Source organism: Homo sapiens, chromosome 3, assembly GCF_000001405.40.
Source record: "Homo sapiens chromosome 3, GRCh38.p14 Primary Assembly".
Classification (NCBI taxonomy): Eukaryota; Metazoa; Chordata; class Mammalia; order Primates; family Hominidae; genus Homo; species Homo sapiens.
Window position 1 is genome coordinate 81,560,515 of NC_000003.12, and position 20,565 is coordinate 81,581,079.

The 20,565-nt window shown below is 34.7% G+C and overlaps 1 protein-coding gene across 2 annotated transcripts in view; it reads right to left on the bottom strand.

Annotated features, from left to right (window-relative positions):
- GBE1 (1,4-alpha-glucan branching enzyme 1) overlaps positions 1–20,565 on the bottom strand; it is a 271,943-nt gene that overhangs the window by 70,812 nt on the left and 180,566 nt on the right. For both annotated transcript variants that reach the window (XR_007095662.1, NM_000158.4), the window contains exon 12: positions 17,411–17,582. Coding sequence is in view for 1 of the 2 variants with exons in the window: in NM_000158.4 (NP_000149.4) it covers positions 17,411–17,582 (172 nt within the window). In the remaining variant the exon portion in view is untranslated. The remainder of the gene's footprint in view (positions 1–17,410; positions 17,583–20,565) is intronic.

The window sequence follows — 20,565 nt, forward strand, 5'->3', positions numbered from 1 at the left end:
TAAAATAAAAACATGATGTATAAAAGATTAAAGTTCTGAAAAGGTATGAATTACCTAGGTTTTCAAACTTATCTTTGTCATTTCATCTCTTCACCTCCACATGGTCATCTCTGCGTATTTCAAAATGGTATCTCTGAATTTTGGTTTTGTGTGTGTTGGTGAAGCTCAGGCACCTATCACATTTGGCTTTATTAAATTTAACTTGGAAGAGTCTATCAGATAATTGTGTGCAAACGAAGTTGAAAAGCTGTTTCTGGGTTGTTTCTCTTATGCTATAAAATTCCTTCGTAAAAACTGAAATAAGGCTTATATTTTTAAGCTTAATAGTATAGTCTTTTTTTGTTAATTGTAGACGTATTTCCTAAGTGTATTTTTAGGGGAAAGACAAGTATTATAAGCATTTCTACAGAACTGTTTATGGTTTTAAAAGCTATAGTATTATTTTTTCTCATTTATAACTTATACTTCTATGGGTACAACTTACTTTAAGACACATAGTTATATAAAACCTCTTTTACAAAAGATGAATCAGGTGGCAATTTTTGCTGTATTACAAAATTCCTTAAAAAATAAACACATTTTTCAACTGCACCTATCATTACTCAGTTTACAAACACCAAATTAAAAAAAATTACAGATGATAACGTATAAAGTGTTACACCTATACTACCTTATGTTTTTAAATTGCTTAAATCAAGTAGCTGTGTCAGTTTTGAGTTGTGAAATATAATGCAGAAGTTGATTCAAACTTGTACAGTCAAAGAAACACAACTCTTGTCTCATGGACTAAAACAATTTTCCAGTGTTTGATTACCTAAAATATGAATATGCAGTAAAAATAATTTACCTGAAACAATGGAACAGTATTTCATTTTGTACATGATAAGTTAGGCAGAGTTAATGAATATCTCTTTTATTTGAGTCAACAGAGGGATAGAAACTTTACTTCCCTCGTAATCTTTAGCAAGACCTTATTTTTTTAAAAAAATGAAGTGGATGATTTCAAACTGCTCCAGAGTGGCGGTATATAAAATTTACTGACTGACATGACAAGTGTGGAAAGAATTTAGACCTACAACTTTAAACTAATATGAAAGAATTCTGGTGGCAAAAGGTCATTTCTATATTTAGTTTGAGGTGACAGCCCCTTCAAATCCATCTTTTACATTATCAATCAAGTAACATATCTAAACTGGATCTGACCATGCCAATCTCCTGCAAAACCCTTCAAAAGCCCTCTACGACCTGGCCTCTGCTTCTAGGTTCAGCCTTCTCTCTCATCATTCATGATCTAAATTAGTAAGGCCCTCATTCTGTTTCACCTTCTTAGCTTTGTGTAGCCACCATTCCAGTGATGGGACTACACAGAGGATCAGCATGGAGGTGAAACGGATACTTTAAACTTAATCTCTTCTTCCAAAGCAGGCCTTTCTTCATGGCCTGCAACTTCCTTGCCTAAATATTGGTTTCGTGATCTTTCTTGAAGTACTCACGGTGCTTTATGCAGATCTTGAAGGTGAAATTTATTACCGAACACACTCGCATCTGTCTTGCTTTGTTTCCTCTCTGGATAGTGAGCTCCTTGAGTTAAGACTAAGTGTTCTCTTTTGTTACCCAGTTCCTAGGATAGTGCCTGGCTCAGCAGTAGGTGCCAAATTAGTGTAGAATGAAGAAATAACTATCACAAGTAAACAAAGAGGACCATTAAGTAATTTGTAACATTGGTTCATAATTTGGAAACAAATTACTTTCTCCCTTGATTTGTTTGATAGACCACAGTACAATACAAAATTTGATCTGTTGTTTTCCTCTTTGTTGCATCTCCTCTGGATGAATGACTGTAGTTAGAGCTGCACCAACACCACTACCAACATTAGCATTCATTTTTGGGCAAAATAATACTACTGTCTTATATAGGGTAGTGATGCAGAGCCTACATTTTGGAGACAGACCAGCTGGGTTCAAATTCTGGCTCCTTTATAAATCTGAAAGCCACTTAACCTTACATTTCCCCTAGGTGTGAAGAGAAGGGAATCATATCTACCTCTCAGGAGTATGACAAAGTTTTAAATGAGATATTATATGTAAAGCACTCAGTGCACTGCCTTGCTCTGAGTAAATTTTCAAGAAATTATAGCCATTTTTACAGTAGTAGGGTGCTAAAAGACTGTTAAGTTGAGGCAAGTCATCTAAATAATCTGTATCCCCTCAACCTCTCAAAGAAAATATATCGCCAAAGAGAAACCTATGTCTCTCTTAGTGAGAAGGAAAAATGAAAACTAACTGTATTTTCTAAGTAACTGAGAGATTCTCTTTACTATTTTGAGACGGTATGTATAGGTCACTTTCATCTTTTTTTTTTTTAATGGGAGGGGGACCAAGTTGGGATGGAGAAGTAAGGACTCAGGTAATAATCTAAAATTTTAGAGGCAGAGAAATTCATCTTTTAAACTCCTAGTCTCCTATTGTCGAGTTGTTCAGGAGAAAGGTTGCCAGAGCAAGATATCTGTGTTTAGAGCACTCATCACTACGTTCTATGAGATGACAGCCATATAGCTCACCAGTTTGACAATACATCTCACATTTTTCAGCCTATGGATCCTTCCAGCCTGCATGAATAACACTGGCAGAGTCCGGTATTCAGTCTTTGAGCTAAAATGAAGCCTCTGATCAATTCTTTTTGGAAAGAAGATCTGTAGGTTTTCTGGTAACCTCTAGAAACTTACAGAAAGTGTGCTAAGTGGCTGTGAGCCAAATAACAAGCATTACTAATATAGCAAAATTAGAAAGGCGAGAATTAGTGAAGGTGAGAGATGATTTAAGAATTAACAACACGGCAGAAATACTGTGAAGAAAACCCATACCATGGTACTCTGTAGAGTGATGTCAGGAAAGGGTAGGGCTATTCATTTGTTTGCATGTCCAACAATAAAGTGAGGCTGTCACTCAGGTGGGTCTTTGGGATCAAATCGAGGGAAGGCTTAATTGAAGATGTAACACCAAATTACAGACTCAAGGCTAGAATTAATGCCCATTGTATATTAATTTATCTTTATTCCTAGAGTAGCAATCTATTCCCCTGCACCAGCCCTTAAAGGTGACCTATCCAGTTCCCTGTATTTAAGGGAATCTTTTGTGAGTCACTGGGGCTCACGGTTAGAAAATGAAACTTTGAAGTGCTTATAAAATGCTAGGTAATTAAGTAATAAATAAGGCTTGATAAAAGTTTATATATTTCTATATAATGTTAAAGTAAACCATACCTCCATTCTGCAAACTCAATTGTCTATAACCTAACAATGGAGCTGGAGAGGTTTAGATATATAAGTAACCTTCTAAGCCAGAGTTGTGTGGATAATGAATACATTCAGGGAGGGAGAGACGGAGAAAGGGAGGGAGGGAGGGAGTGAGGGAGGGAGGAAGGAAGGGACGAAGGAAGGAAGGAAGGAACGGAGGAAGGAAGGAAGGATTGTTATGGTTTAAATGACAATATCCCCTCTAAAATTCCTGTAGAAATTTAATCACCAATGGAACAGCATTAAGAGATGTGGCCTCTGGGAGGTGATTAAGTCATAAGGGCTCTTACATCACGAATGGAACTAACACCTTTATAAAAGGGCTCAACATTTAAAGGAACACTTTCCTGCACCTCTGTCCATTTCTCCATGTGAGGATACAATGCCCATCCTCACATGGACATTGCCTCAGAGGCATGAGAACAGAGGTGGACCTAGCTTAGATGGATGAAAAACAGAGAATATCTGCACCTGGTCACACCTGGGCACCGCAGTGGGTGTATTCCTATGGTTCTCACTCCATCTTTAAAAGGGCCTCAGCTGGATACAGCCCAACTGAGGAGAAATTCAAAAGGAGTCAACACCACGGCCACTGACAATCACAAATATCCCAAAGGAAGAAATGTAGCAGTATTTCCGGGGCATCCTATCCTAAGACCAAGACTGAAAGAATTAGAGATAGTTAGGTTCAGTTGCTTCTTTTTTTCCTCTCCAGAATATTAGTATAATCTTTTTATATTTGTAAAAGATTTTCTGTATTCAGTTTGGTAAATGTGGGTGGGTAGAAAAAAATGTGGGTAAGTTACATAAGCAATGTTCTCTAAAGTGACTCTTCTCAAAGGTTATGGTCATCAGGAAGGATCTGAGGTGAAATTGTTCTTATGAAAGCTAACCTGGCAGGAGTTTTTCCAGTAGTGGGCATTTAAGTCACCTGGGAAAGAGGGCTGAGGACATTCTCTCGCCTGGCTTCCAGTGACTCCGGCACAGTCCAGGTCAATCTGTCTCTCTCAATCTTCATTTTTGCATGTTCTTCCATCAGTGGATCTCTATGTTATACTTTCACAAATTAAAATTATTTGGTGAGATTTTTCAAAACAACTACTGCCAGAGCCTTACACTCAGCGATTCTGTCTCAAATGGTTGGGGTCAGGCTCTTGGGCTTCAATATGTTAAAGCTCCCCAGGTAATTGTAGCAGCACTTCCTTAACTCCTAGTGCAATGTCATGCTCATGGTAGGTTCTCATTAAATGCCAGCTAACCCTGGTTAACAGTGTGCTGTGAATCAAATCAGGGCCATTGCTTTTAAGTCTGTGCCATTTGGAATATACGCTATTTGTATCTCTGAGCATTTTAACAGAACTTCAAGCCATTTACAACTGCTCATATTGAGAATTTTGCAGTTTTTCACAGCTCAGTTTTATAGACTTCTATGAGTCATGTTACATTCAGCAAACTTGCCTCAACAAGCTAAAAGAAAATGCCAAAAATTAGCATTCCCACTGTTCAGGAGAGTGTATTTTGTCTTTCTATAACTGCCTTAATTCCAGCGCTTAGCAGGAAGACATTTAAATCTTTATTGTATTCCTATCTATCAGAAAAATAGAAGAATTTACAAGTTTGACACTAAACAACCACAGATGGAAGATTTGAAGTAAGATCACACATTTTATACTGAAGTCTAATGTAGCGATCAACAAATGCAGACTGACACTTAGGACAAAATCCATCCAACTTCCCCTGTGGCTTTGGGGAGAATGTAACATATTCATTAAAGAATGTCCTACAAAATTATCAAATGTCAAAATACAATATAATTATATTGAGAAAATCCTTTAAATTTAGTAATGGAAATTTCATAATACTGCTGAGAGAGAAAATTGCCAGTTTGTAATTATGCCTTTTTCTCCACAGGTATCACTCATTACAGAAACCAGAATAACATCATGATAATAAGAGTGCTAAACAAGAAAGCAGGAAAAACATATGTACACATATCAGATGACCTACATTATAAACAAAAAATACTTTGTTCTCTATTGCCATGATTTTTGTTTGCATATAAATCTATTTACATACATTTTGTATATATTTGTATACAAATCTATTTATATACAAACAATATAAGAAAGGCAGAAAGGCTTCTGATTTAAACTTTATTTACTGATGAAAATATATTTTAGAAAGCTTCTCAATAATACCCAGCAGCAGCCCCATTCGGGTTTGCTTTGTTTGTTACGGGAAATCCAAGTTCAGCCTCCTGGCCAGGCACTGATAGTTGAACTCACCACATACCACAATCTGAACTTTTCTTCTCTTCCTCCAAAATCCTCTTGCTATGCTCACTACAACTTCTGTTCTAAAACAGGAGAACTTTCCTATATCTTTTACGACCTCTTAAAATTCTCTCTTCACTTCCTAGCCTTAAGAATCACCTGGGAATCATTTTAAGATTCTTTTTCAATGCCCGAGCCCTAGCCAAGACCAATTAAATCACAATTTCTAGGTATTTGTCATAGACATCAGTGGTTTTGAAAGTCCCCAGGTGATTCCAATGTACAGACCATTTTGAGAACCAGTTGGCTATTGGTTCTTTAATATGTTAGTTATTTGCTAGTACTTTCAAAATCCTTCCTTTTTTTGACAGGTGCCTGACAAAACTACAATCCTTGATCAACACTAGCCCTCTAGGAAAAAAGGCACACAACCAAGAGGCTGGATCAATTTGTACTCCTGATTACAAATATCTAACGAACATGCAATATTACCTGGACACCCTACTATAGTTCTCTGGTATTTTCACTCCTAGAGATGTCTATCTCATACCTTCTATTTTTTCAAACATCTCTTATTCCTTCCTCCTTTTGCTCTCAAATGATAATCTCACTGAGAATATAAAAGTTATCAATCATGAATTTTTTCATCTTCACAAAACCCCACTTACAACCAACCTTCACCTGTATTCATTTTTGTCTTTTTTCTGGGGGGAAGGAGGACTTCTGTATAAACATTTACCTTTCCACTTGTGCTTTGGAACTACAGTTCTCCTTTAGGCAGCCCCTTTCCCTTCTATGTTGATCTTGCTCTCACCACGGAATCATCCCCTTTGAATAGGCCTTTTCTGAACACAAACATGTTCTTATATTTCATAAGAAAACAAACCTCTCTCGATCCCCATCCCACTCGAACTGCTATCTTATTTATCTGCTGCCTTTATTAGACAAACACCTCAAAAGAGCTGTCTGCAAAAGCATTACTTGACTTTCACTTTTAAACCCACTCCATTCTGGCTCTCACGCTCATCATCCCCTCAGAATCAGTCTCGTCTAGTTCACCACTGGCAACTTATTTGTCCTCATTTCATTCAGCTGCTTAACATTATTCAACATGGATGGCCATCTCCTCTTTTTTCAAATACTATATTTTGGTTTTCAAGGTGTTGAAATCTCAGGATATGTCTTCTTTTTTCCCTATCATTCCTTCTCAGTCTGCTTTTATGCCTTCTCTTTGTTGAGATATCAGTGTTCCTCTGGGATCCTGGACTTTCTTTTCTTCCTGGTTCATGGTTCTCAATTGCAGGAGCTGACCTCATTAGTATCATGGCTCTAGCAAAATTCATATGTTGAGAAATACCAATTTTATTTATCCAGTTCTCTGAGTTCAAACTGTTTGCCATTTCATTTGAGTCTTTCAAAGAAACATGAAGATAATATACCTAAAACTAAACTCCTCACCTTCACTTCTAACCTGACTCTAGCCTTATTTGTCTCATACAAAGTGGTACCAACAGGTAATGGCTGCTTAAGCCAAAAACCTGAAGTCATTCTTTGATTCCTCTCTTTGTCTTATGGCCAAAGACTATTACTAAGACTTCTTGATTAAATCTACCTCCAAAATTATATCTTGACTCTTTTTGCCTCTTTCTATCTCCACTGCTATCATTGTCACTCTTTTGACTACTTCAACAACCTCCTGAGTAGTATCCCTGCATTTACTCTTGCCCTAGTCAATCCTTAAAAAGCAACAAAGGTTATCTTTGTCAAACAGATTGCACCTTCATATGACTCTCTTTAAAATGCATCTGAAGTTATAATGCAATGTCCACTTCTTTACCAAGACCTATAATGACCTTTATGATCTAACTCCTGCCTGCCTTTCCTATTTCTTGAGTACTAAGTTACAGTGACACTAGTCTCCTTTAATTTCCTTGAATTCCCCCAGCATTTTCCCACCCCTGGGCTTTTGAACATTCTGTAACCTCTCTTTAGAGAGTGTTTTTCTGTGATCTTTACGAAGTATATTTCAAGTATTTAAAGATCTAGCTTACAGCCATCTTTGGATTCTCAATTTTTTTTTTTGAGATGGAGTCTCGCTCTGGCACCCAGGCTGGAGTGCAGTGGCACGATCTGGTCTCACTGCAACCTCTGCCTCCCGGGTTCAAGTGATTCTACTGCCTCAGCCTCCCAAGTAGCTGAGACTACAGGTGCGTGCCACCATGCACAGCTAATTTTTGTATTTTTAGTAGAGACGGGGTTTCATCACGCTGGCCAGGCTGGTCACCAACTTCTGACATCAAGTGATCCACCGGCCTCAGCCTCCCAAAATTGTGTTCTCAATTTTAACAATGTTTTTGTTTTCTTTGTGTCACTTATCATTTGCAGGTTTTTTATTTGTTTTGTTTTGTTTTGCCATTTCTCTCTGTTGCCCTTAACAGAAATTAAGCTTCCTGAGGAAAGAGGCTATATTTATCCTGACCACTTTGCATGTCAAGCATTTAGTAGAGTAACTAAAACAATTCCTAGTACGGAATGTGTACTTAGTAACTACCTGAGTTAATGAATGAGTGAATGAAAGCAAGCATTCCAAAAGTTCCCAAATGCGTTAAGGATTGTTCTTAAAAGGTTGACTTAAGGGAGGAAAAAGACTTAAAAAATATTGTGTGTCTGTATCTGTGTTAGACACGAACGTGTGTGTGTGTATATATATATATGTGCATGTGAGTATATGTGAAGACATATATATGTATGTGTGTGTATATATATACATATATAAATGGAGAGATAACATTTATACACAGATTGTGAGCTAAATGGAGAGATAACATGTATACACAGATTGTGAGCTATCTAGGAGAAACTATTGACTATTAAAATGCCATAAACATTCCAGCTACCACCCCCCCAAAATATGAATTGACATTTTAAAGATCTAAAAAAAATACCAAATTACATGTGACCAATATTAGAAAGGAGCTATACTTAACATCTTACTTCAATTCACTAGTGACACAACTGTTTTATGGAACATTTATATTTATATGATAAAAATTTAATTTTTCCCAAATGTCCAAATTACATTTGAAAACTAATTTTTTAATGTTTTTAGTTATTACTGACATTAGCACTAATAAGGGTAAACAATAGGGGAATTAAAAAAACTAATTTAAATGTAGGACATTAGGAATTAAATTTTACTTTGGTTTCAATGCTAAGATAAAAAATGTTACAGGACATGTAAACTGTGAAATATGCCATTTAAAAAGATTTCTCTTATAGCAGTAATACATAGCAATATGTAAAGGCCAACTAATATTTTTTGACCTTGTTGTTCTGCCATTTACATGATATGGCATTCCACCAGTGAGTAGAAGATGTGGCAAGGGGTCAGAGATGTTCATGCCCTTGCCATTTAAGAGCTTGACCTGTGAGTTGCTTATACAGCACTACCATTAACATCCTTCTGGCCATAACTGCTGGTCACATGACCTCAGCAGGCTTCCAAAGAACCTGGGGAATGTGCTTGTTATTCTGGCCATCCATGTACCCAGTTAAAATTTGGAGGAAAAGTGTTAATGGAGAAAACTAGCAGTCACGACCACAGCTATGAGAGAGCAGACGGAGTATCTATCACACAAATACAACACATTAGTAAACACTTAACTGAAAAACTGTTTCAAACATTGATTTCTAATAAAGAAAATAATTGCCACTTTTCTTTGCTTACTTATTTTATTTTATTTTTTTAATTTCAAGATTTTGCTCTTGTTGCCCAGGCCGGAGTGTAATGGTGTGATCTTAGCTCACTGCAACCTCCACCTCCCAGGTTCAAGAGATTCTCTGCCTCAGCCTCCCGAGTAGCTGGGATTACAGGTGCCTGCCACTACACCTGGCTAATTTTCTGTATTTTTAGAAGAGATAGGATTTAACTTGCCAGGCTGGTCTCAAACTCCTGACCTCAGGTAATCCACCCACCTCAGCCTCCCAAAGTGCTGGGATTACAGGTGTGAGCCACCATGACTGGCCTGCTTACTTATTTTTATAAAGCCAAAGACAATATTAATTTTCAGACTAAAATATACGGTCACTAGGTGTTTCTTTTACAGTGATAACTTCTAATTAACCTAAGAAACAGAATGTTAAATTAGAAAAAAAAATTCTTAAAGGCATGCAGTTGACATATTTTACAGAAATCTATGGGATTAAGAATTTGTACCATTTGTTCAAAGTATCCTGATTGCCAACACAGATTCAGAACTCATAACTGATCTATTGGCTCTCAGGATATGATTGTTGTACTAAAATTACAGATGTTTCTCATAAGTGTGAGCAAGATGTTATGAATCTCCAAGCATGAAAGATATTCCCAAATCTTAAGAGGGAGAAGATGAAGGTTGATGGATTTCACACAAAGTAAAGTTGCATAAAGTTACCACAGGTATTTTCAAAAAGTGCATGATCTTTATAATTTAACGCCTGCCTACTTTTTACTTCCTGTGTATCAGGAAATGAAATTGGAGACTGGTGTAATTGTAACTTAGTACTCAAGAAGTAGGAAGCAGAGATATCTGGGTGGAAAGGTAGGCAGTAGTTGGATCATAAAGGATGTTATAGGCCTTCATAAAGGGGTGGGCATTGCACTATAAGTTCATTGATCATGTGTATACAGTATGTCTTTAAAAGCCTGAATTGGAACACCACTAGTTCTTAATTCTCTTAATTCAGTTAGAATAAAAGAAGGTATGGGTTTCTAAAGAGCCTAAAAAACCATAAACATAATTATATCTGTAAATGTGTCCCCATACATGCTGGCAAGTAGAAAAATAACTCCATGTTTATTTTCTACCAAGTGCCCTATATAAAAGATAATGATAACATGATTGCTTTTAATAGTAGGAATTAGGCTTTTAAAGTCAAGACAGTATACACTCAGGATCTAAAGTCTTCTTTAACAGGAAAAGCAACATATTACTCTGAAACAAACAAAAATAAAATGGAGGGAAAAAGGAGGTAAATTCAAGGTGGAAGGATAGGAAAAGAGACAGAATTCCAGGAGTCTGACTTCCTACATCATGTCCCATAGCGTTATCTGCACACACAGCTCCTCATATACCTTTTTACTTATTTCCTCCTTTTATTACTTTTCTCCGTTGAAGAGGGAAGACATTAGACATGGAAATAATGAGTTTGATTTGAATGAATTAAGGAATGAATGAGCAAACAAATAAACCAATGGGTTTAGTTGATTCCAGATTTCTTCTGATATTTCAACTTATGTGTTAACATCTCATGTCATGGGGAATATGTTTTATAATGACAACACAGGTTTTCAGTTATATGGAGCACTGAGCTACATTACAGAAGTGAAATGTTGCTGGTTTTCTTGATTTAAGTCTGCTAGTTCAGTATTTTTTTAAATGAGAAATGTGAATCATTTATGTTTCGAGGTATACCCGGAGAGTTATATAAAAAGCATTAAATTTCAAATAGAGTGAAGCTATACTCATTTAAAAAGTGCTCTTCTATAACACTACAATCCCCAGGAGGAAGAAGAAAATGACAACTGATGAAAGTAAAGCTTCTGTTCCAAGAATAATTTTTACTTTAGTTCAAAGTATTCTGAACAAGTGGAATATTAACATGACAGTACTAAAAGTGATTCAGGTCACTCTACATTTGAATCTTTACCTATACGTTATGAAACTAAAGAAGAAGTCAAACCAGGGTGGAAAACAAAACAACTTTTTTTAAAACAAAACTGGCAGTAAGCTATTGATAAAAAAGATTCCAGTACCCATAAAGAAATCTAAAGGTTATTTTTAAAAAAATTCTTAAAGTTAGAGACTTGATTACTTGAGAATTGACATGGTTAGGCTTTGTGTCCCCACCCAAATCTCATCTTGAATTGTAATTCCCATAATCCCCACATGTCAAGGGAGAGACCAGGTGGAGATAACAGAATCATGGGGGCAGTTTCCCCCATGCTGTTCTTGTGATAGTGAGTTCTCACAAGATCTGCTGGTTTTACAAGGGGCTCTTCCACCTTTGCTTGGCATTTCTCCTTCCTGCAGCCTTGTGAAGGTGCCTTGCTTCCCCTTCACCTTCTGCCTTGACTGTAAGTTTCCTGAGGCCTCCCCAGCTATGCTTAACTGTAACTCAATTAAACCTCTTTCCTTTATAAATTACCCAGTCTCAGGCAGTTCTTTACAGCAGTATGAAAATGGACTAATAAAAGAATGAATAAAATATGTGTATTTAGCTGTCCAGTATAACTTTCTCCTTACTATTGCCCAATGTAGTATAAAGTTACAAAGATCTTTCTGAGAAGCCAGAAAATGTTTCACAAAATACCATTTGTGTCTCAATGATGGCAAGATTTTTAAGCAGGTTATTTTTTAAGTTCACATTTAAAAAGTCATTAGACATTATTTCATTTTCAAATTTATGATTAATTTTTAAATTTTGTTTAGTTAGCAGATTCTTAAAATTACATTCTACCTTGCCTGTCAATATTTAAATCAGAAAGATATGTTCTTAATTCTTATATTTTAATTTATGCTTTACTTGATATTTTAAAACATCTGTACATGTTTATATATTTAAAATGAATTAAATATTTGGTTTCTTCTCTTGTTTTTTATAATTCTATGTAGCGTTTAATAAGAAAATCCTTTAATGCCCTTATTTTCATATTATATGGAATTAAAATTGCAGTATCAGGGTTGGTGTTTTTTTCCCTAATGTGATCACTGGACATAGTAGTCAATTTGCCTGCCTAAACCAGCATGTTCATAGCAACATTCCTGGGTCACATGATAAGGCCATATGACTCTACTCCCTCTGCCTCAGCTGACTGAATTAGGAAAGGATAGCATTTCCGTGATAACCAAATAAGCACCAGAAAGCTGAGTAAAATACATTCACTGAGGTCATCCTATGCATAAAGTTGATGTTTTTTATTTTATATTTATTTTTGAACACGAAGCATACTTAGCCAATGATTATTTAAAAAAAAATAAACCATAATGTCACATAACCATTAATACTAGTTCTAACTGAAGAGTTAACAATATTTTAAAGTAATTTAAAGTGATTGAAACTCATCTTTTCATTAAACTTGCCAATCAGAATGGCATGTAAATTGTTTTCTTTAGGCCCCAGTTTTTTTCATTTATTCAAAGTTTAATAATCTTAACTGGCTGTAATCTCAAATTATCAGTCAATTGCTTCAAGCCTACTCTTACTTAGACTATTACTGATCTCATACATAACTTTCCTGTGGCTTCCTATTCCAAGCTGGTTTGGCTAAAGCATATCATATTTTTACCAACAATCTCCAAAACAAGTTTCCTAAATATTTACACAGCATTTTCTGCTTATCTGTATCACTGAACCTAGTGCATGCATTACTATAAAGGTATTTGTCTATCACTTGCCTGTATTCCCTTTTGGGTTTTAAGGCCTTGAGGGCAAGAACTATTTTTCATCTCTGAATACATACCACTTAGTAATACCTGGTATATCATAGATACATATAAATGTCTTAAGCATAAAGAAATCTTACAACATTTTAGAATGCATTATGAATATATTAAATTTATAGTTTAAATTAATATACACCTCAAATACACTAACTTTTCAGACTGAATTTGCTCTAAGTCAATTTGCCTTCTCTCTCTCTCTCTCTCTCTCTGTGTGTGTGTGTGTGTGTGTGTAGAAATTCTGTGCACAGGTACCATAAAAACAGTAAATTTCATCTGATGCTCTATCTGATGCATATATACACACATAATTATATACACACAAAGGAAACAGTCAATTCATAATAAATGTTAACTGAGCAATATGATATTGGCTTATCCCAAAAATAAAAACAAATTGAGGCAACCCTCAGACTTCCTCACACATGAAAGCTAAGGCTGTTTCAGCAGCATCGTTCAGTAGACATCATTATGACTAAAAAACTCAGAAGGTAAATTGGTGAGACTTAATGCAGAAATGGCTTAATTTATCACATAACATAAATTAGGAAAAGAACATTGATTTTTAACAAATCACTACATTTACTGATATTTTAAAGTAGAAATGAAATAATCTTTTATTTTAAACAATGTACTATCAGACAACATTCTAAAAAACACAATTAAATGGAATTAGGACATCAGCATTCAGGTACCATATAGTTAATGGAGTAACTGATAATATTAAAATATAGTAACCGTCAATTTAAATAATAGTTAACTATAAGCTATATGCCTGCAAATACTTTGTGTTTTATATAAGTATAACAGTATTAAGTCATTTCACCCTCAAAACAATCTGACGAAGCAGGCACCCACTTTATCACTGAGCCGATGAAGGCATAGTTGATGCATCTTACCCAGATCACACAGCCAAAAAGGGAAAGGCACAGATTCCAACCCAACAGTATTCTTAACCACTATGCTGTACCTTTTCTCTAAAAAGTATTCATAAACCATGTATTTGTGGCTAACTAATCTAGATACTGATCTCAGAGTAATTTTCATTACAATTTTTCTCAAATTGGAAATCAGAAGAAAAAGGCAACTGACCAGCTGCCGAAATTTTCTGGTTGTGCAAACTGAGGCATGTCCCTATATGTCTCTGAGTCGAAGTTTTAGCAAAATGGACTTAGAATGTCTACGTAGCATGCCTTATTATTCTTATAACTTTTGGCCCCAGGTTTCTTTTGAACAAATATCTGGTATAAAAAATAAAAAGGAAATGGAATGTTCATTTAGATAATAGATATGAAGTGTTTTAGAAAGTATAGAATGAGGCCGGGGGCAGTGGCTCACGCCTGTAATCCCAGCACTTTGGGAGGCCGAGGCAGGCGAATCACGAGGTCAGGAGATCGAGATCATCCTGTCTAACACGGTGAAACACTGTCTCTACTAAAAAATACAAAAAATTAGCTGGGCGTGGTGGCGGGCACCTGTAGTCCCAGTTACTTGGGAGGCTGAGGCAGGAGAATGGCGTGAACCCGGGAAGCAGAGCTTGCAGTGAGCAGAGATTGCATCACGGCACTCCAGCCTGGGCGACAGGGCGAGACTCCATCTCAAAAAAAAAAAAAAAAGTAGAGAATGCTATGTCGATGTTACTGACAAAAATAATTTAGTTATTGCTGATCTCCCTTCTATATTCAATTATTTCATATATGATAGAATAAAAAAATACAAATCTATTTATTCATAAAACCATTCACAATAACCTAGCAAATCAAAAAAGCATAGTAAATATTTCACAGCTATAACCAGAGTGAAAGAATTTTTTTGAAATTCAAAATTAGAATACATAAGACAAAAACAAAACAAAACAAATCAGCCAAACTGGTATTCTGAGAAAATCTACATTAATCTTAATGACTTTTGATAAACAGAACATATATCTGAATGCCTGACAAATAAATTTACGTAAACATGTTTTTATAAAAATATGTGCTATACAAATGTATAGTTGTTTTATTTCTTTTGACTCACTGTTTCTCTCCTGGAGGAAAATAAAAAATAAAATTCCAGAAAATTAACAAGTTTAGAAATGCCTAAAAGATAAGTAAACAATCAAGTTGTTTCTTAGTTTTGAAAAAATTTCTTAAATTGCTCTTTTTAAATATTAATTTCTATATGCCATTAGAAAATATCACCTTGCTTATAACTAAAACTGGTTATTGCAGCTAATGAACTAATGCTAAAACAGTATTACTATCTGTAGTTTTACTCAGAAAACATACAAACAAAGGAATATTCTTTAATACATGGGAAGGTAGCCTTGTATTTGTTACTTTAAAAAAAATGCTGTAGTTTTCAATTTTCTCACCTTGGTATAAGGTTCCTCATCAGCCCCATCTCTTACTATTTCTAGTTTTTTCATGTAGACTTTTTTTCCTCACAAGTGACAAATCTTACTTTTTAACCTCCTGCTAAAAGCCTTAATCATTCTTTGTTCACATTCAATAATGTTTTAAGGTGTACGTCAACCTAGAATTATTTTTCAGTCAGTAATAGCACAAAGTGAGGTATTTTCTCTCTGAGTATTCATGGCAGCTTAAAAAATTGAAATTTAACCTAATAAACATTTTATTACATTGTATGATGAAGGTAATGCATTAGGCAATGTATCATACTTACTTATTATACATGATAACTATAATAATCATAGTTATCAAATAGAAAAATATTTTATCCTAAATTTAGGATATGACCATCCTGTTTTAGATTGTAAATTCTCTGAAAGCAGTTATCATCTTCTATTTTATGTAATTATGTATCTACAGATACATAAGGATTTCCTTCTGTAGATGATAGTAATTTTATACTTTTGTACATGAAATAAAGCATTTAAAATATCTCACTAGGTCCTCAGTTTCCTTACTTTACATGGTGACATGGTTATTTGCATAGGTTCATACAGTTTACTTATTCATCAGGATATAGTTACATAAATTGGCTGTATAACTAAGGCCTTACGGAGTGCCCATATTGGAGAATGATGCATCCTGAGTCAGGTAGAACCATTGCTTTTAAGGAACTAAGGCTGACTTTATTTATGGAACCAATCATTGCAAAGTCCATCCAGGGAACTTGACCTGATACCTGGCTGATGCGATACAGTCTCACAACTCAGGAAGGTCACTTCCTGGAAGGCTAGGGATGTCAACAAATTTCAGTGACCCTGAGAATAGAGGATACACCCAAAGGTACAGGTAGTATACGTGAAATCTGTGTATGCTTTCTCGGGGTTGGCTTCCTAACCTCCAGTTAGTAAAAAATAAAGGCTTTTAAAAGTTCAATCTGAGATTTCTTACAAAAATTTCCAAGTAGAAGTGAATAATTCAAAGATCCAGGGCTTTTTAAAAATTAGAGATAGGGTCTTGCTTTGTCACCCTAGCTGGAGTGCATGATTATAGTTTACTACAACCTCAGACTCCTGGGCTCAAACAGTCCCTCTGCCTCAGCCTCCTGATTAGCTAGGGTACAGGCACGCACCACCACACCCAGCATTTTTTTTTTCTTCTTTTGGTAGAGATGGGGCTTTTCCATATTGTCCAGGTTGGTCTCTAACTCTTCGCCTCAAGCCATCCTCCTCCCTCAGCCTCCCAAAGGAATCAGATTAAAGGTGTGAGGCACCACCCACCCTGAGTCTTTTATTGTAGAAAAATAAAACAGCCTTTTGTATATATTCCCCAGTCTTTGTGTCTTTCTCTAGTCTAAAAGCTGTAAAAATTTCCTAAAACTCGAATGTTTCAATGTCTGCTGTTCACCAACTAGAAGTCAATTTTTATATTTTATTTCAAGAGCTTTCAGACAAAAATGACCTTTCAGTATTCATATTTTTCTATTTTAAAAAATAAATTTCTTTTTGTCCAACACAATATCTCTGAACCTAAGTTCACACATTTATAACACAAGTATACTGGTATAAAATTATCTCAAAGAAGACCAATAATACTAGCTTGCTATGTTATAATATGATAATTATATCTTTCTTAGATTTAATGTGCAAATACTATAACAATAAAATTAACTCAGAATGATTAAATTCAGAACCATAATTCCGGATGTTAAAAACAGGTAAGCCCGCTTGACAGCAATATTCAATTAAATATCAGCTTTTAGACTATACTTTTGTATCATATATTAATATAATAACCTTACAGTGATTTAATTTTATTCTTGCAATTTACACGACAGTATATGAAATAAATAGTTGTAATTTTATATTCTAAATCTGAAAAGCCAAATCAAAATATTCTACATGATTTATGTCATTATAAGTTAACATTTTAAACACAAATTGCATATGTGTTTAACTCACACTTACCCATGAAATTGAGATAGCCTTCTCCACCAAGCCCATGCGTAATGAGTCGAATCATTTTATGAAGCTGTATTCCACGATCAATAACTGGAGTAAAAGGAGTCAGGACACTCATGTTTGTATACATTTCGGCATCCATCAACCAAAATGCCAGCGACTTATCCCCAACCAATGCCTACAGAAATAAAAGTAATGGAGATAAATGAAAAAAAAAAGTGCTAAGTAGTTGTGATTTACAATAGAACAATGCATGGTTACAAATGTTAGGAAACATCGTAGAAGAGGTGTGTAGATTAATATTAATTTCAGGTATTTTCCACTGGTGATTTTCTAGGCTCAAGGCAAGCTGGTAAAATATGTTAGACTTCAACACATTTGTTTTCAGGACTGGACTGATTTTTATTTTTAAAATAGGTTGGTGAAAGATTCATGATAAGGTACCTGAATATCTGTTATATGTGAGCTGACACCTCACATTTTCTGAAACATTTATTATAATGTTGAGAATATTAAATAGATTTTTAAAATAGATTGTATATAATGATTTTATTTGCTTTGAAAGAAGTTTCTGAAAAATCATTGATATATAATATATATATATTATTTTGCTCATATATATGAGTAATATAATATGTGTATAAATATATCACAATAGTTCCTTCCTGCCCTCAGCAGAGAAAATAAGTTGAGAACATTTATTTAAGTGTAAATTTGCTTTCTCATTGTATTTGCCATTTAATCTAAATTTAGTTTGTTTTACCTGAAAATATAATAATTATTAACTGAGGCAGGTAACTCAGAAATGCCCTGAGTAACAGCAGAGAGACCTCCTAAAAATCTGAATTATTTACAGTTCAAAACAGCTAATGCAGTGTTCATCATGGACAAAACAATAACATAGAGTAAAATGTAAAATAGAAATTAATCCATAATCTCAGTACCCTATTACAATTCTTTTCATTTTCTAGAAAAGAAATTTGTTTACAATCTTTTCTATCTTTAACCTACTTTAATTAAAATGATCTTTCTTTAAAAATTGTTATAGGATTTATATCATTACTTCTTAAACAACTCACCTTCTCTACTTGTTTTGAATTCTTTAATTATGTTTTTAGCTATAATTATTTATTTCTACAATCTCTGATTCTATTATAAAATTATTTTAATAACTTTGGATCAGGTTCATAGATAAAGCTTATTCTCATACCAAGTTGCCCTCTTATAAAATCCTGTTGAGATACTGGTGAAATTAAGTTAAGTTTACAAATTTAATTGTTAAGGATTTATCTAAAAAGTTTAAAATAACATCCACATTTTTACTATAAATTATATGTTTATTTATTCATTTTTATGTATTCATATACATTTATATTTTTTATCAGGCTTAAGAATCAAAGTACATTTGCTTTTAGAAAGAACTAGGCAACTTGCATTATTTCTGCTATCCTGAGAATTCCTGAATATATAAGATAGGATTGCCTGAATTTTTAAAGTATGAAATAATTCTTGGTAAATCTTTTTCTTTACAGATTAGGTAGAAATTTACGTAAGAAATCTATCTTTTTCATCTTCCATTTGTTCATGCCACTTATTTGTTTACTCTTTCATTCATATAAAATAAACATATGCTGGGAATTCACTATGTGCTGCAACTTCAAGGAGTTTGCAATAGAAAGCTATAATTTATGCATATATTTTAATTTCCAAATTGTTATGTATTTGGTAAGAGTTTCCCCCTCCCCACCCCCACCACTCACCTATTAAACAAATATTATTCTTTTCTAGATTGGGTTCTTCTTTTTTAGATAAGTATTTATCTTATCTGCTCTACAGACAAGGATAATGTAAATTGAAGTTGATAAGAAAGCACAGCCCCAATTTGGAAGATGCAAAATTTAACATGAGTTTACTTCAGAGGTCATCAAGTTTCTCTAAGGGTGGGCCACTTTCTCTGTCTCAGCTACTCAAATGCATCATTTTGGCACAAAGGAGAATACGTAAACAAATCAGCATGGCTGTGTTCCAAGTAACCTTATTTACAAAAACAGGCAGCAGGTAGGATTTGGCCCATGGGCCTTGATTACCCAACCCCTGCTTTACTTACATTTTCTTAACAATTAGAGGAGACACCTGAAAAAATCATGTTTGCGTTAAATGGCCAATTTCTGCAAAAATGATAGAGAAACTTATTTAGTTTCAATTTTTTAATAAAGATACTTTAAGTAACTTCAAACATTTTATTGTCTACATTTTAATCTACAAAAAGTAAATTTTATGTTGATGTGTATGAGGATTAATATGACCTTAAATAAGTGACCTTTTTTCTCCATTTTAAAAATATTTATTAAGTGATTACTAGGATCAGTCACAGTGCTAAAGGCTGGAAATAGAAAGACAATGAAAAAAAAATTCTGTTCCTAAAACATAATGGAAACTTGGAGGATGGGACAACTAATTTTTCCCTACATGACCCAAGGAAGGCTTTATATAGAATGTGTCAGAGCCAGACAATTAGGTCTGAGTAGGAACTTCCCAGATGCAGATGCGTGGGGAAAAGCACAAGATTGGAAAAAGCTGACCTATTTGGAATGGGTAGGGATTTCAAAGTATTGAAGAACAGGAGGCTTGGAGAGTTGGGCAGAGAATAATGCTGGAAACCGGCTTGAGCCAAAATAGGAGTGGCTTTGAATTACAGGCTTCGACCAGTATATCTGGGTTGACAAGACGAGCTTTCCTCTTTAGAAAATAACTTAGGCTGTATTCGAGAAGACAGACTAAGGCTGGATGGAACAGGGGTCAGGGAGGTCAATTAGCAGGAGATTTCAGTGACTGAGGGGAAAAACTGAAGAATGCTTGTCAAAAGCATAAAAGAATACCTCTAGAAGGCAGCCTAAGACGGAAACTAAAATAAACCTGGTCCAGCACCAATTTTCTTCATTATGACAAGGGAAAACATATAATACTTGCAACTGCAATGTATAATCTATTAATTATAGTTTGGCAGGACAAACATACTACTGCATTTTGAAACTGGAGTTTCTCCATCTACAAATTTAACATTTTTTCCAATATACGTAGTTTTCCTGTAAAGATATATATTAATACACACACACACATACACACATTATAGTAACTACAGAGGTTTATATTTCGATATG